Below are 14,849 nucleotides of genomic sequence, written 5' to 3' on the forward strand. Positions count from 1 at the left end.
ATCAGTACATTAAAAAAGCTCTGTAGATAACTGATAAGCAGTTAAGACTGAAAACCTTTGGCTTAAAGGTTTGGAGAAACAACATCAAAAAGCCCAGGGTACACATAGCCTCTGCCTACTCAAGGTACCTGTGCTAGGTAACCAAGGAGAGCAGTATGATCATAGAAACTCAGCTATCAAAAAAAAAAAAAATTCCCTTCCTAGACTGTAAGCTCTGTAGAGCAGGACTATGTTTTTATAGTGCTAAGCATACAGAAGATGCTCAGTAGATATTAGACAAATTAATAAATGTGGTTCAAGATTTCACAACCAGTAAGTGGCAAAACCAGAAATAAACTTAGGCTAATTTCACTATATTTTGTACTTTTTTCCTCCATTAAGTTATTAGTCATATACTTGGTTTGCCAATCCAAGATGAGTGCTTAAATATGGGGCAGACAGCATGCGGCACCCATCATAAGATAGTAAGAAGACTCTGCCTCTGTGTCATTCTCTTGTTTGCCAGAACCAGAAAAGTCAACAAAGTCTCTTCATGATTATTGTCTCATTTGAACCACTCCGGAATGAATGCCATGTAGGTATGATTATAGCCTTATTTTTCAGTTGATGAATCTGCCTCATGGAAGTGAGATAATTTGCTCAAAGTAACCTAAGAGTACACAGCCAAGTCAGGATTCTGTCTGAAAAGGTCAAATAACACCTTCTACCAGAACAGGTTGCTCCTCTTGTGTTAAAGGAATGCTCCAGATTCTGCTCCCTTCCATTCAGGTGAAATTCCAGATCCCACTTTCTGAAGACCCCACACTTGGTCCATTTCCTTCATTGTAGCCTGAGCCCTCAATATGGACATAGAGTCTTATGTTCAGCCAATACATACTGATACAGCTGTACTAACTGTTAAAATATTGAAATAGTGACTGCCTGGAGCCCCTCTGAGTGTGTCATGATCCAGCCACAACCAGGTAAATGCCTAGTGCAGCAGGGGACGTCCAGGTCTTGCTCCCATCTTTTCTGATTGGTTGATGGCTATACCATACTAGTTGTGAAATATTTTGAATATCTCCTCCTCTACTTATAGCCACATCTCTTCTGTTCTCTAAACTTTGGTTTAAAACTCTTAACTGTGATCTTAGCTTCACCTGGGGGATCCTACCTGTATGCCTCTTTTGCCCATATATGTTTTCTTATTCGTCTGTCCTACCAGCTATACCAATTGCTTAGCCTGGCATCTGGGTTTAGCACCAGGCCTCTGCTACACGTGATTACCACGCTTCCACAAGAAACTTAAACAATGAGAAGCACTCATAACACCTGGAAGAGGCTAAATAAAATCCATCTGTTATGTTTCTTGTAGCATTAAACATTCTAATTGTTCATGGATATAAAGAACAAGAGGACTAACCAAGGTTACAAAAGGAAACATTATCTAGAAATAAGGACGAAGAACATGTAAAGAAGGATAATGAAGCAACACCGATTACTTAACAAATACTCCTAAATGAACAGCATAATTTTCTCAAACTTTCTAAAATCACTTTCAAACTACAAAGTAGGGAAATACAGTTAGTGGCCCAAGTAAAAAAGAAATTAGAATATTTAAGATGTAGGTATACTGCTAAGACAGTTTTCATTAGGGGGAAATGAATTGTTACTACGTTAATATTTTACTATTTATATTTAAATCTAGACAATTACCTTTTCAGCTATCAATAGAGGAAAAGAGGATATTGAATATCTCTGAACAGCAAATAATCAATATACTCACTGAGAGCTGCTGGAGTCTATAGGGGACACAGAAAAGTGTGAAACAGTACCATACTCAAGGAGTTCATCTGCCTGAAGGGGAGTTCATCTGCCTGTTTTATCTGAAAAGTTGTTCCAAAATATACAGTATAAATGTATGGCACAGGAAGTACATGTCACAGGAATTCAGAAGAGAGATGAAGAAAAGGGAAGAGCAGTAGAAATACATTTGACATCTTGGAGTGGCAGTGAACTGACTAGCTGAGTTAAAACCCAGAGCTTTCCTTAAGGTAGGCTGCAAAGATAAGCTGCAGGAGACAGGACTTTGAACCTGATCCTATGAGGTAGCCAGGGAAGGTATTTATTAGCATCTTAGAAAATTATAAATATGTTGTTTTGATGGCTTTTTTTTTTTTTTTTTTTTTTTAGGAAACACTACAATTTGGAAAGCCAATCGAGAAAAGTTAGGTAGTTTTTCCAAAGCCAGTGACACTGCTAATTTAACTATGGGCCTCCACTAGAGGGCAGACGAGTCGAAGCTTACACTGTGGTTGAACTGGAGAAAGCAGTGCATTCATAGAAAATTCTGAGAAAATTATTTTGTTTAAAGACCATTTTCAGTGCCTTCAAACTTGGACAGAGTCTTTAGCTAGCAGATCAGTCTTTCACAGAAAATCTTTCTGTGGTATAAAATGCTTCTTTTTTTGTTTTGTTTTTGAGACGGAGTCTCGCTCTTGTCACCCAGGCTGGAGTGCAGTGGCGCAATTTCGGCTCACTGCAACTTCCGCCTCCCAGGTTCAAGCAATTCTCCTGCCTCAGCCTTCTGAGTAACAGGGATTACAGGCGCCCGCCATCACGCCTGGCTAATTTTTGTACTTTTAGTAGAGACGGGGTTTCGCCATGTTGGCCAGGCTGGTCTCGAACTCCTGACCTCAGGTGATCCGCCCGCCTCGGCCTCCCAAAGTGCTGGGATTACAGGCATGAGCCACCACAGCCGGCCTAACGTGCTTCTTAATTGCAAAATAGACCAGTAGAAAAGTTATACTTTGGGAGTCTGGCTCAGCTGACAGCCACATGTGCTTATATGTGGTAGGCATATCTGGAATGCCAACAACAGCACTCATCACTGACTATCTTACCTCAATCTTCCCCACTCATCTCAGGCACATCCTAACCACCACCCAAGTTGATGTCTAACTATGTGTATACTATCTGGACCATAATTTCAATCTAGATTTTCCTTTTCATTTTGGTCAACTGGGGAAGTTCTTTATCCCTTTAAAGTCAGAGGTAAGGTGAGGCCACTAGACAAAGACTCTGATATGTGCATTTGCCTCAGCAGGCTGAGGAGCTGTTATATGGTGGAGTGGGGGTTGGTAGGAGCCTTCAGTTCTCATTAACTAGAACACAAGGTGAATGATAACAACTAAATAAAAAGGTTGAGAATTTCATTAAACTTTTGAGAGGCTAAGGCTAGATTTTGTAAAGTACTATAAACTCCTTTTTCTGCTTTGATCTCTTGTCAAAAAAAGATGTATGAGCAGGCTGGGAATGGTGGCTCATGTCTGTAATCCTGGGACTTTGGGAGGCTGAGGCGGGCAGGTCACTTGAGGTCAGGAGTTCAAGACCAGCCTGGCCAACATGGCAAAACTTCGTCTCTACTAAAAATAAAAAAATTAGCCATGCGTGGTGGCACACGCCTGTAGTCCCAGCTACTCAGGAAGTTGAGGCACAAGAATCACCTGAACCCAGGAAGCGGAGGTTGCAGTCAGCTGAGATTGCACCACTGCACTCCAGCCTGGGCAACAGAGTGAGACTCTGTCTCTAAATAAATAAATATGCAAAAGCAATCCTATTTAGTAGCTTGATAGACTGCCATTAGCTGGAAGTTAATTTTCCTCTACTCCTCACCAGTGTTAGTATCACAAGTATTTTCTTTTACCCATATCCTACAAAATGATATCATTTAGTTTCAGATATAGGTACACTTCAACTGCAGGTGAATTTTGCTGTACTTAAAGTCTTGTAGTATCTCTAACATACCACTCCGTCTTGTCTCAGACTTTACTGTTCCCTCTGCCTAGAATACCCTTCATTCCCCCTTTTGCTTGCCTACTTCTATTAATCCTTTATTCCCTCATTCATGAGATGAAATCTAACTCTGAAGCCCAGACTGCAGGGCAGTGGTGTGATTATAGCTCACTGCAGCCTTGAACTCCTAGGTTCAAGAGATTCCCCCACCTCAGCCTCCTGAGTAACTGAGACTACAGGCACACACCACCGTGCCCAGCTCATTAAAAAAAATTTTTTTTAGAGACAGGGTCTCGCTTGGTTGACCAGGCTGGTTTCGAACACCTGGCTCCGAGCAATCCTTCCACCTCGGCCTCCCAAAGTGCTGGGATTACAGGCATGAGCCACCCCACCAGCCCTACTTATCTTTTAGATTGGAACTTAGGTGTCCCTTTCTCCAGAGGCCTTCCTTGATCCCTCTAGGACTGGGTTCCACGGTCTTTCCAAATACAACCATACTCCCTCTACAGTTCTCTAGTGTAGCAATTCTCACACTGCCTGTTTACTTGTTGGTCTCCATATTATAAGCTTGAAGGCAGGAACTGTCTCTTGATCACTGCTGTATACTCAGCACCTAGCAATGCTGAATAAAAATTTTGAATAAATGACTAATGTAAAAGAAAGAACAAGTATTGTAGGACAGATTCTCCAACCAAGGTGCCCCATTTTCTATAATGTAGATTCAGTCTGCAAACACCCTGATTTAAAATACAAAAAGATAGTAATTCCTCAAACAAGAATATTCTTAGCTATAGCCATCCCACATTTTCACATACGCAACCATTTTAGAGACTGCACAACAGAATTCTCATAGAAACAAAGATGAATGGGTCAATGTTGTCAATAATAATCATAAATTAGGGAACTAATCATCATCATCTGCTTTTAGAAGTGGGTTCTATTTATTTTATTTTAGATAGTCATATCTAGCAATCTTTATAGCTTCTATTTTTTAACTTGCATATTTAAATAAGTTTCCCAGAAAATAGTTCATTAATTCATCTACAATTTATTGTGGTATATGGTTGAAGATAGAGCTATCTAACTTAATTTTCTCCCCAAATAGTTAATTGTTATTACAGCACTACCTGGCTATTTATCCATTTTCCCCAACTGACTTGAAATTCTACCTTAATCATACACTAAATATTTTCATGTACTAAGGTCTATTTCTGGGCCTTCTAGGCAACATCTTTCTTGTACACCATGCTATTATTAGCTTATAATTGTTTTCAATATGTGACTGTGAGAATCTCATCTTTTAATTTTGAGTGCACAATTTCACCCACTTAGTCTTCCAAATGACTTTGTTAGGTTTTCAACACCCTAAAAATCCCTTTAGAACAAGCTTGTCCAACCCATGCCCAGAATGGCTTTGAATGTGGCCCAACACAAATTCGTAAACTTTCTTAAAACATTATGATTTTTTTTTGTAATTTTTTTTCTCAGCTCATCGGCTATCATTAGTGTATTTTATATGTGGCCCAAGAAAATTCTTTTTTTGTTTGTTTTTTGGAGACAGAGTCTCGCTCTGTTGCACAAGGTGGAGTGCGGTGGCACAATCTCGGCTCACTGCAACCTCTGCCTCCTGGGTTCAAGCGATTCTACTGCTTCAGCCTCCCGAGTAGCTGCGACTACAGGTGCGCACCACCACACCTGGCTAATTTTTGTATTTTTAGTAGAGATGGAGTTTTGCCATGTTGGCCAGGCTGGTGTTGAACTCCTGGCCTCAAGTGATCCATCCTCCTTAGCCACCCAAAATGCTGGGATTACAAGTGTGAGCCACTGTACCTGGCCAGGAACTTTTTAATATTACATTTGATTATATTATATATTACGTAATATATAATGGTTATTGCCGGCAATATACAATAGCAAATCATTTCTATATATTTATTTTGATATTAACTGGTTTATTGCAGTTTTAAAAAATAAATTTTTATATATTTTTTCATTTAATAATCACTTTTCAAAGAGTAAAAATGTAAAAAGCTATTCATTGAAGTTACGTAAACAAGTGCTTCCACTCACAAATAAGATAGAAATACTTATAAATGAAATGTGAACCACAAGTTTTTTTTTTTCTTGGAGACAGAGTCTAGCTCTGTTGCCCGGGCTGCAGTGCACTGTTGCGATCATACCTTACTGTTGTCTTGAACCCCTGGGCTCAAGTGATCCTTCCACCTCAGCCTCCCAACTAGCTGGGACTACAGGTGTGCACCACCATGCCCAGCTAAATTTTATTTTTTGTAGAGACAGAGTCTCACTATGTTGTCTAGGCTGGTCTTGAACTCCTAGGCTCAAGTAATTTGCCTACCTCAGCCTCTTGAAATGCTGGGACAGGCATGAACCAAATAATTTAATGCAAGCTTCACCACCTAATTCTCTAAGAATTTGTATAATCTCAAGTATAAAAATATCTAAAGAGTTTGATTTTCTATCGACTATTTTAATTTACATTTAAATATATTTATGATTTTTATATAAAAGAGGAGATTACATATATCCAACATAAGAACTGTTGTCAGGGAGCAAGTGGTAATACTTATCTCTAACCCTCATGAAAAATAAGAAAAAAAGACTCATTCATTAAACTGTGAACCTTTTGAAACAGGGACTGTGTCTTATTTTTATACCCTGATACCTGGCCATAGTATGTGTTCTTTTTTTTTTTTTTTTTAAGTCTTATTGAGAAATAATTCATATACCATACAATTCACCTATTAAAAGTATACAATTCAATGTTTTTAGTATCTTCACACAATTATGTTTTTTAAAATATATATTTCTGCCTTTTTTTTTGAAGATAGGGTCTTATTTTGTTGCCCAGGTTGGGGTGCAGTCACACAATTTTGGCTCACTGCAGCCTCTGCCTCCCAGACTCACGTGATTCTCTCACCTCAGCCTCCTGAGTAGCTGGGACTACAGGCACATGCCACCATGCTTGACTAACTTTTTAATTTTTTGTAGAGATGACAGCTCACTCTATTGCCCAGGTTGGTCTTGAACTCCTGGATTCAAGCGATCCTCCTGCCTTGGTCTCCCAAAGCACTGGGATTACAGGTGTCAGCCACTACGCCCAGCCTATTTATGCATTTTAAAACCATGCCAGCCGGGCGCGATGGCTCATGCCTGTAATCCCAGCACTTTGGGACACCGAAGCGGGTGGATCACGAGGTCAGGAGATCGAGACCATCCTGGCTAACACGGTGAAACCCCGTCTCTACTAAAAATATAAAAATTTAGCTGGGCATGGTGGCGGGCGCCTGTAGTCCCAGCTACTCGGGAGGCTGAGGCAGGAGAATGGCGAGAACCAGGAGACGGAGCTTGCAGTGAGCCGGGATCACACCACTGCACTCCAGCCTGGGTGACAGAGCAAGACTCCGTCACAAAAACAAACAAACAAACAAACAAAAAACCAACCATGCCATATATTCAAAACCAAAAGTGTATACAGAGAGAGGGAGAAGAAAAAATAAAAATAAAAAACAAAATTTAAAGTCCAACGAAAAGATTTTCACCGTATATAAAAGAATGAATTAATAGTCTCAACGAACAAGGAATTCCAATTAGAAAAAGATAAACACCAATAAAAAAATGGGGGCAGGGCACGGTGGCTCACGCCTGTAATCCCAGCATTTTGGGAGGCTGAGGCGGGTGGATCACTTGAGGTCAGGAGTTCAAGACCAGCTTGGCCAACATGGCGAAACCCCATCTCTACTAAAAATACAAAAATTAGCCGGGCGCAGTGGTGAGCGCCTGTAATCCCAGCTACTTGGGAGGCTAAGGCAGGAGAATCGCTTGAGCCCTGTAGGCGGAGGTTGCAGTGAGTTGAGGTTGCGCACCACTGCACTCCAGACTGGGTGAGTGAGACTCTGTAAAAAAGGCAAAGACTAGAAGCAGATAATTCACAAAAGAAATACAAATGAAAAGGAAGTGAAAATGTTTAGCTAGAAATTTATAAAACAAAAAATTTAAAAAACAAAAATCCAAACAAGGATGCTGTACTATATTTTCCCTAAAAAAATCATTTAAGCAGCCGGGCACGGTGGCTCACGCCTGTAATCCCAGCACTTTGGGAGGCCGAGGCGGGAGGATCTCTTGAGGTCAGGAGTTCGAGACCAGCCTGGCCAACATGGTGAAACCCCGTCTCTACTAAAAATACAAAAATTAGCCGGGCGTGGTGGCAGGTGCCTGTAATCCCAGCTACTTGGGAGGCTGAGGCAGGAGAATCGCTTGAACCCGGGAGGTGGAGGTTGCAGTGAGCTGAGATTGCGCCACTGCACTCCAGCCTGGAAGAGAAGAGCGAGACTTCATCTCAAAAAAAAAATTAAATTAAAATTTAAAAAAAGGCTGGGCTTGGTGGCTCATGCTTGTAATCCCAGCACTTTGGGAGGCCGAGGAGGGCGGATCACCAGGTCAGGAGATCAAGACCATCCTGGCTAACATGGTGAAACCCTGTCTCTACTAAAAATACAAAAAAATTAGCCAGGCGTGGTGGCGCGCTTGTAGTCCCAGCTACTAGGGAGGCTGAGGCAGGAGAATGGCGTGAACCTGGGAGGCGGAGGTTGCAGTGAGCTGAGATGGCGCCACTGCACTCCAGCCTGGGGGACAAGAGTGAGACTTCGTCTCAAAAAAAAAAAAAAAAAAAAAAAGGCCGGGCACGGTGGCTCATGCCTGTAATTCCAGCACTTTGGGAGGCCGAGGTGGGCGGATCACCAGGTCAGGAGTTCGAGACCGTCCTGGCTAACATGGTGAAACCCCGTCTCTACTAAAAATACAAAAAATTAGCCGGGCGTGGTGGCGCGCTTGTAGTCCCAGCTACTCGGGAGGCTGAGGCAGGAGAATGGCGTGAACCCGGGAGGCGGAGCTTGCAGTGAGTGGAGATTACACCACTGCACTCCAGCCTGGGCGACAGAGCAAGACTCTGTCTCAAAAAAAAAAAAAAAAAAAAAAAAGAAAGTCATTTAAGATAAAACAATAATATGCAATACTGTCGAAGGATCAGGAAAAATGGGCAATCTGTATCAACAGCTTTAGTATTGACCATGTTTTTGATACCTTAGAAAAATGCATTCTAATAAAAGAAATCAGATATCATCAAAGGTTTATGCAGACTATTCATAATGGCAAACAAACTGTAAGCCACTTTAATGTACAAAAACCGGGAAGTTGAGTAAATTAAAAAACTGCCACGTAATAGAACTTTATTAAGCCATTAGCTTATATTGCCTAAGTATTATATATTTAAAATAAAAACATGAGCAGAAAATAATAATTACTGGGGAAGAAGCAGGTTTCTTCTGGTATGTGAATTATAAATGATTACTTTCTTATATATGACCATCTATATTTTCTAAACTTCCTACAATGATCATATATTACATATATTATAATGGGAAAGTGAATTAGGGATGGGGAAAATGTATAAATTACTGTTCCTTTTCTTTCTTTTTTTTTTTTTTTTGAGATGGAATTTCACTGTTGATACCCAGGCTGGAGTGCAATGGTGTGATCTCAGCTCACTGGAACCTCCACCTCCCAGGTTCTAGCGATTCTCTTGCTTCGGCTACCCAAGTAGCTGGGATTACAGGCGCCCACCATCACACCTAGCTATTTTTTGTATTTTTTTTTTTTTTTTTTTTGAGACAGAGTCTCGCTCTGCCCCCAGGCTGGAGTGCAGTGGCTCCATCTCAGCTCACTACAACCTCTGCCTCCTGGATTCAAGTGATCCCCTGCCTCAGCCTCCCGAGTAGCTGGGATTACAGGCACAGGCCACCACACCCAGCTAACTTTTGTATTTTTAGCAGAGATGGGGTTTCACCATGTTGGCCAGGATGGTCTCAACCTCCTGACCTCGTGATCCGCCCGCCTTGGCCTCCCAAAATGCTGGGATTACAGGTGTTAGCCACCGTGCCTGGCCCCTATTTTTTGTATTTTTTAGTAGAGACGGGGTTTTGCCATGTTGGCCAGGCTGGTCTTGAACTCCTGACCTCAGCTGATCTGCCTGCCTCGGCCTCCCGAAGTGCTGAGATTACAGGCATGAGCCACTGTGCCCAGCCTGTTCCTTTTCTTAATTAGATGTCTTATGAGGTATTAGGTAGATGAATACACATATCATCTAACCAACGTTTTAAGAGAGACTTAATAAGTTGGAAGATCATCAACAAGTGAAAGCCTCTGCTGGCAGGTGGCTGGCTACCTAAATAAATGACACTCTCCCTTTCCTCCTTCTTTGTACAGCAGCTTCTAATCTCCTGCTACAGCCATGTGAACTCAGCTCAAATTCACAATCTTTTCTATCCTATTCAATGTCCTTTTTCTCTAGAGCCCTGATTGTTTATTTTTTATTTTTTTTCTGGGGCGGGGGGATAGAGTCTCGCTCTGTTGCCCAGGCTGGAGTGCACTGGCGTGATCTCGGCTCACTGAAACCTCAGCCTCCCAAGTTCAAGCAAATCTCACGTCTCAGCCTCCTGAGTAGCTGGGACTACAGGCGCGCACCACCACATCTGGCTAATTTTTGTATTTTTAGTGGAGACAGGGTTTTGCCATGTTGGCCAGGCTGGTCTTGAGCTCCTGGCCTCAAGTGATCCACCCACCTCAGCCTCCCAAAGTGCTGGGATTACAGATGTGAGCTACCATGCCTGGCCTAGAGCCCTGATTTTTAAACTGGGGTACAAGTATCCCAGGGTCATACCTCAGTGCGGTAGGGATTATGGAAGCCAAAGAACGAATATAAAGTTTATTCTCAGAGCATCAAATTTACTTAACGGGAAGTAATATTTTTATAGTAACAGATATAGAGGTAGATCTATAGAGATATATTCATTTACATAAGGCTTAAAATAAACCATAAAAATTCAGGTAATGGGCTCCTTTAAATTTTCTATACCCAGACTGCCAGGGGTTGCCTATTCACTCTCCACTACTGTTATAGAAATTTCTTGTGGAAAGATTTGAGAAGCACTGCAGAGGATTGTTGTATGTAACTTTAAAATCAAGCCTGTGTTTAATTAATATTGAACAATTAAGACATAAGCTAAATGTTAGGGGGTATGGTAGGTTAGTAGATATGAAGAGAAGATCGGATGCTTAAGATTCCTAGGTCTAATTCCTTGATCTAGTTCTAGGACTGAAGGCATGTCACTTAACTTTATTGGGCTTCCAATACAAAATACTGAAAAAGAAGATTCTGCACTTAAAAAAAAAAAAAACTCAAAGCCTCCATGCTTAATTTACGGAAATGAAGGAGAAAATTTGGAGTCAGAAATCAGAATGTGATCTCATCCCTAATATAAATTAGGCCTAGCTAGTGATCCTTGCTAACACACTGGAAATCATAAGGAGACCAATTACTAACAGCCTTTTGCAGTTAAACACTCCTGGTTTTATTAATGAAAATAAATGACAGAAGAAAAAATTAATTGGCAACTTAATACAGGAAGATTTTAATTATACTTACAGAACTATTAACCTTGACAACCCACCAGCTCATGTATAATAAGAAAGCACCTCCCTCACTAATATAAATCTAAGTAAAACTACACGAATACAAAATATTATATAGAGAAGGGTAAAATCTCCTGAGAAGCACTCTGTCATCTGAATTTCCTCTGCAATTTGTTGAAAATCAGCATCATGCATTGTCAGCTTACAGACCACTAAAGCTACCTCAAAAGCTGCTCCGCTACATATTTAAAACAATATCCACTGTTTTTCTTTAACAACTTCCACACTGTCCTCTCCATTCTCTCCTCCAACCTCACTCTTACTTCCTTAAGGCTCCCATATACCTTACCCTCCCATTTTACACAAGCCTCATGAAGTTCTCTTCTTGGACTTCTTTGTTTTTATCTTGAGATTACTTTAGAAAACATTTATGATCTAAAGTCTGAGAACACTTTATTGATGCATCTTATCCCCTTGAAGAGAGAAGAAATGGTTATAACCAACTTTTCAATACAATCCTTTCCTTCTGCCATCCTCAGGGAGTCATAATATGCTTCATCCATGATACTCAAAGTCATTAGAATTTTTATAATCAAGCTAAATAACTACAGGAAGCCTATGATGATACAGTCATATTATTCTGCTAATTATCCTACATTATCTATTAGTAATACAGAGTCATCCCTCCATATCCATGAGGGATTGTTTCCAGGACCCTCCTTCAGATACCAAAGTGAGTGGATGCTCAAGTGTCTTATGTAAAATGGCATAATATTTGCAGATAACCTATGAACAATCTCTTGTATACTTTATTTATTTATTTATTTGAGTAGGGGTCTCGTTCTTGTTGACCAGGCTGGAGTGCAGCAGTGAGATCATGGCTCACTACAGGCTCAAACTCCTGGACTCAAGGGATCCTCCCGCCTCAGCCTCCAGAGTAACTGGGACTACAGGCATGTGCCACCATGTCCAGCTAATTACTATTATTATTATTATTATTTTTGTAGAGACAGGATCTTGCTGATTTACCCAGGGTGGGCTCAAACTCCTGGATTCAAGCAATCTTCCTACTACAGCCTCCCAAAGTGCTAAGATTACAGGCATGAGCCACTGTGCCTGCCTCCCATATACTTTAAATCATCTCAAGATTACTTATAATACATAAAACAATGTAAGTGCTATATAAATAGTTGTTATGCAGTATTTTTATTTGTATTATTTTTTATTATTGTATTGCTATTTTTTAAATTTTCTGAATATTTTTAATCCATGGTTGGTTGAATCTACCATGGGTATTCTTCCTTTTTTTTTTTTTTTAAGAGATGGATTCTTGCCTTGTCGCCCAGGCTGAAGTGCAGTTGCGTGATCTTGGCTCACTGCAAGCTCCGCCTCCTGGGTTCATGCCATTCTCCTGCCTCAGCCTCCCGAGTAGCTGGGACTACAGGTGCCTGCCACCAAGCCCGGCTAATTTTTCGTATTTTTAGTAGAGACGGGGTTTCACCATGTTAACCAGGATGGTCTTGATCTCCTGACCTCATGATCTGCCCGCCTCAGCCTCCCAAAGTGTTGGGATTACAGGCATAAGCCACTGCGCCCAGCCCGCCAAGGGTATTCTTAAATCTAGATCTGCCCCCTCCCCAAAACTGAACAGAGCTGGGGAGAAAAAGGAAGAAAAAATGGCAAACAACAAAGAGCAAGATGAGTACACCTGATAGGAAGCCCCCTCCTTTATGTCTTATTCTAATATAAATGAGAGTAACTTTGAAAACATCTATCCTTATTGTCATTAGTTAAATATTTTTTTTCATGAGAAACTTGTACAGTCCCAATAGAGAGTTAGCTGTATGTATAAATTAAAAGAATCAATAAAAGGCACCAGCTGGCCATCCCAACACTTTGGAAGGCTGAGACGGAAGGACTGCTTGAGACCAGGAGTTCGAGACCACATCTCTACAAAAAAAAAAAATTTAATTCTTTGTTTAAAAAAAGGCACCAGTGGCCAGGTGCAGTGGCTCACACCTGTAATCCCAGCATTTTGGGAAGCCGAGGCGGGCGGATCACCTGAGGTCGGGAGTTTGAGACCAGCCTGACCAACATGGAGACACCCCGTCTCTACTAAAAATACAAAATTAGCTGGGTGTGGTGGTGCAAGCCTGTAATCCCAGCTACTTGGGAGGCTGAGGCAGGAGAATCACTTGAACCGGGGAGGTGGAGGTTGTGGTGAGCCAAGATCGCGCCATTGAAAAAAAAAGCACCAGCAATTTCATAAAAATGCAATTCCTGGAAGCAAACACAAATGTAGAAAAGCATTCCCCAAGCATATCCTGGGGTCAGTAAACACTTTCCTTGAGCAACTAGCAGGAAATATTACTTGCCTAATTTCCTAAGAAGCATAACTTTCCTGATAAACAATGCCTTGAACAGCCCATGAAAGGAATAACCAAGGCTACTAAGCATTGGTAAAATGAAACATTACACAAAACTATTTTGTATAAAATAAATAGTCAACTGAAAATATGGAATAAGATGGTAGTTATAAAGTATGCTGCAGATTAAAAAAAACTCTCAAACTATCAGAGTAAATTGAGATGGCACACAAAATGGTTTCGTTCTATATTTTCTGCAAGATCTAAGACACTAACAATAAGAAAAACTAAGCTTTGAAGAAAATCAGGAATAGCTTTCAGTTCTATCTATGTGTATTATGTGAACACGTGCACATTCATTATCAGTCCAAAGTGCTTCCACAGAGACTCTGCTTTTTATAAAGTGATAATTTCCAATTTTCCTATGTTTAAGGAGTCACAGAATTGAATACTTGGTATGCACAATCCACTGGGAAGTAGGCAGTCATTAATAGACCATTACCTGGGACAATTATAAAAGCTATGTAAAAATATTCAGATCTGATCCTCAGCCTTTAGAACAACTGCAATGAATAGATAATACTTAATCAATGTTGAGTTCATAAATACTTCTTTCTTGGCCTGTAATAAGGAAAGGTTTAAAATATTTTCATATAAGTAAAATATAAGAAATATTTAAAAACATTTTTCCAGTGAAGTCAAACAAATCTACTTTTTAAATTCTAAATTTAAAAAGGTGTACTCATCTTGCTCTTTGTTGTTTGCCATTTTTTCTATTTTACGTGAACCAGTCCCCTCACATTTTCATACCAGGGAGGATGGGCAAATAATTCCAAAGGCACGGTTCTTGTCCTTGTACTGGTTAAAGACCTAATGATAATAATAGCTATGTGAATAATGTAAAGAGTCAAAGTAAATGTGAACTAAAGGGCAGAACACAGATTGTAAACACCTAATTTTTGTTTCATACTTCACTTTAAAAAGCCTGTGTGAGCAAAGAAAGATCTGTTTCTGTATTGGCTCTTAACACTCTAAGATTCTGCAAAATTAATTCACCACAGGAACATGGGACATGTCCATTCATTCAAGAGCTATCTCTTAAGTTTCTCCAGGCACTGTGCTAGCTGCTGGTATAAAACAGATCGAGTCCTTGCTTCAGTCTGATGAAAGAAGCAATCAAATGAACACATAAGCAAAAGTAAAATTACAACTACAAATAGG

The 14,849-nt window shown here is 40.4% G+C and overlaps 1 protein-coding gene across 9 annotated transcripts in view, besides 1 other annotated feature; it reads right to left on the reverse strand.

The window, feature by feature from the left end:
* The window catches only part of SSH2 (slingshot protein phosphatase 2), a 304,291-nt gene that overhangs the window by 179,748 nt on the left and 109,694 nt on the right, over window positions 1–14,849 (reverse strand). The window lies entirely within an intron of this gene.
* Window positions 4,360–4,419: an enhancer, noted in NCBI's record as "active region_11987". NCBI's record gives its function as "activates an Ori minimal core promoter by ATAC-STARR-seq in GM12878 lymphoblastoid cells {active_cell/tissue: GM12878}" and the evidence as "EXISTENCE:reporter gene assay evidence [ECO:0000049][PMID:35858748]".

This window comes from Homo sapiens, chromosome 17 (assembly GCF_000001405.40).
Source record: "Homo sapiens chromosome 17, GRCh38.p14 Primary Assembly".
NCBI lineage: Eukaryota > Metazoa > Chordata > Mammalia > Primates > Hominidae > Homo > Homo sapiens.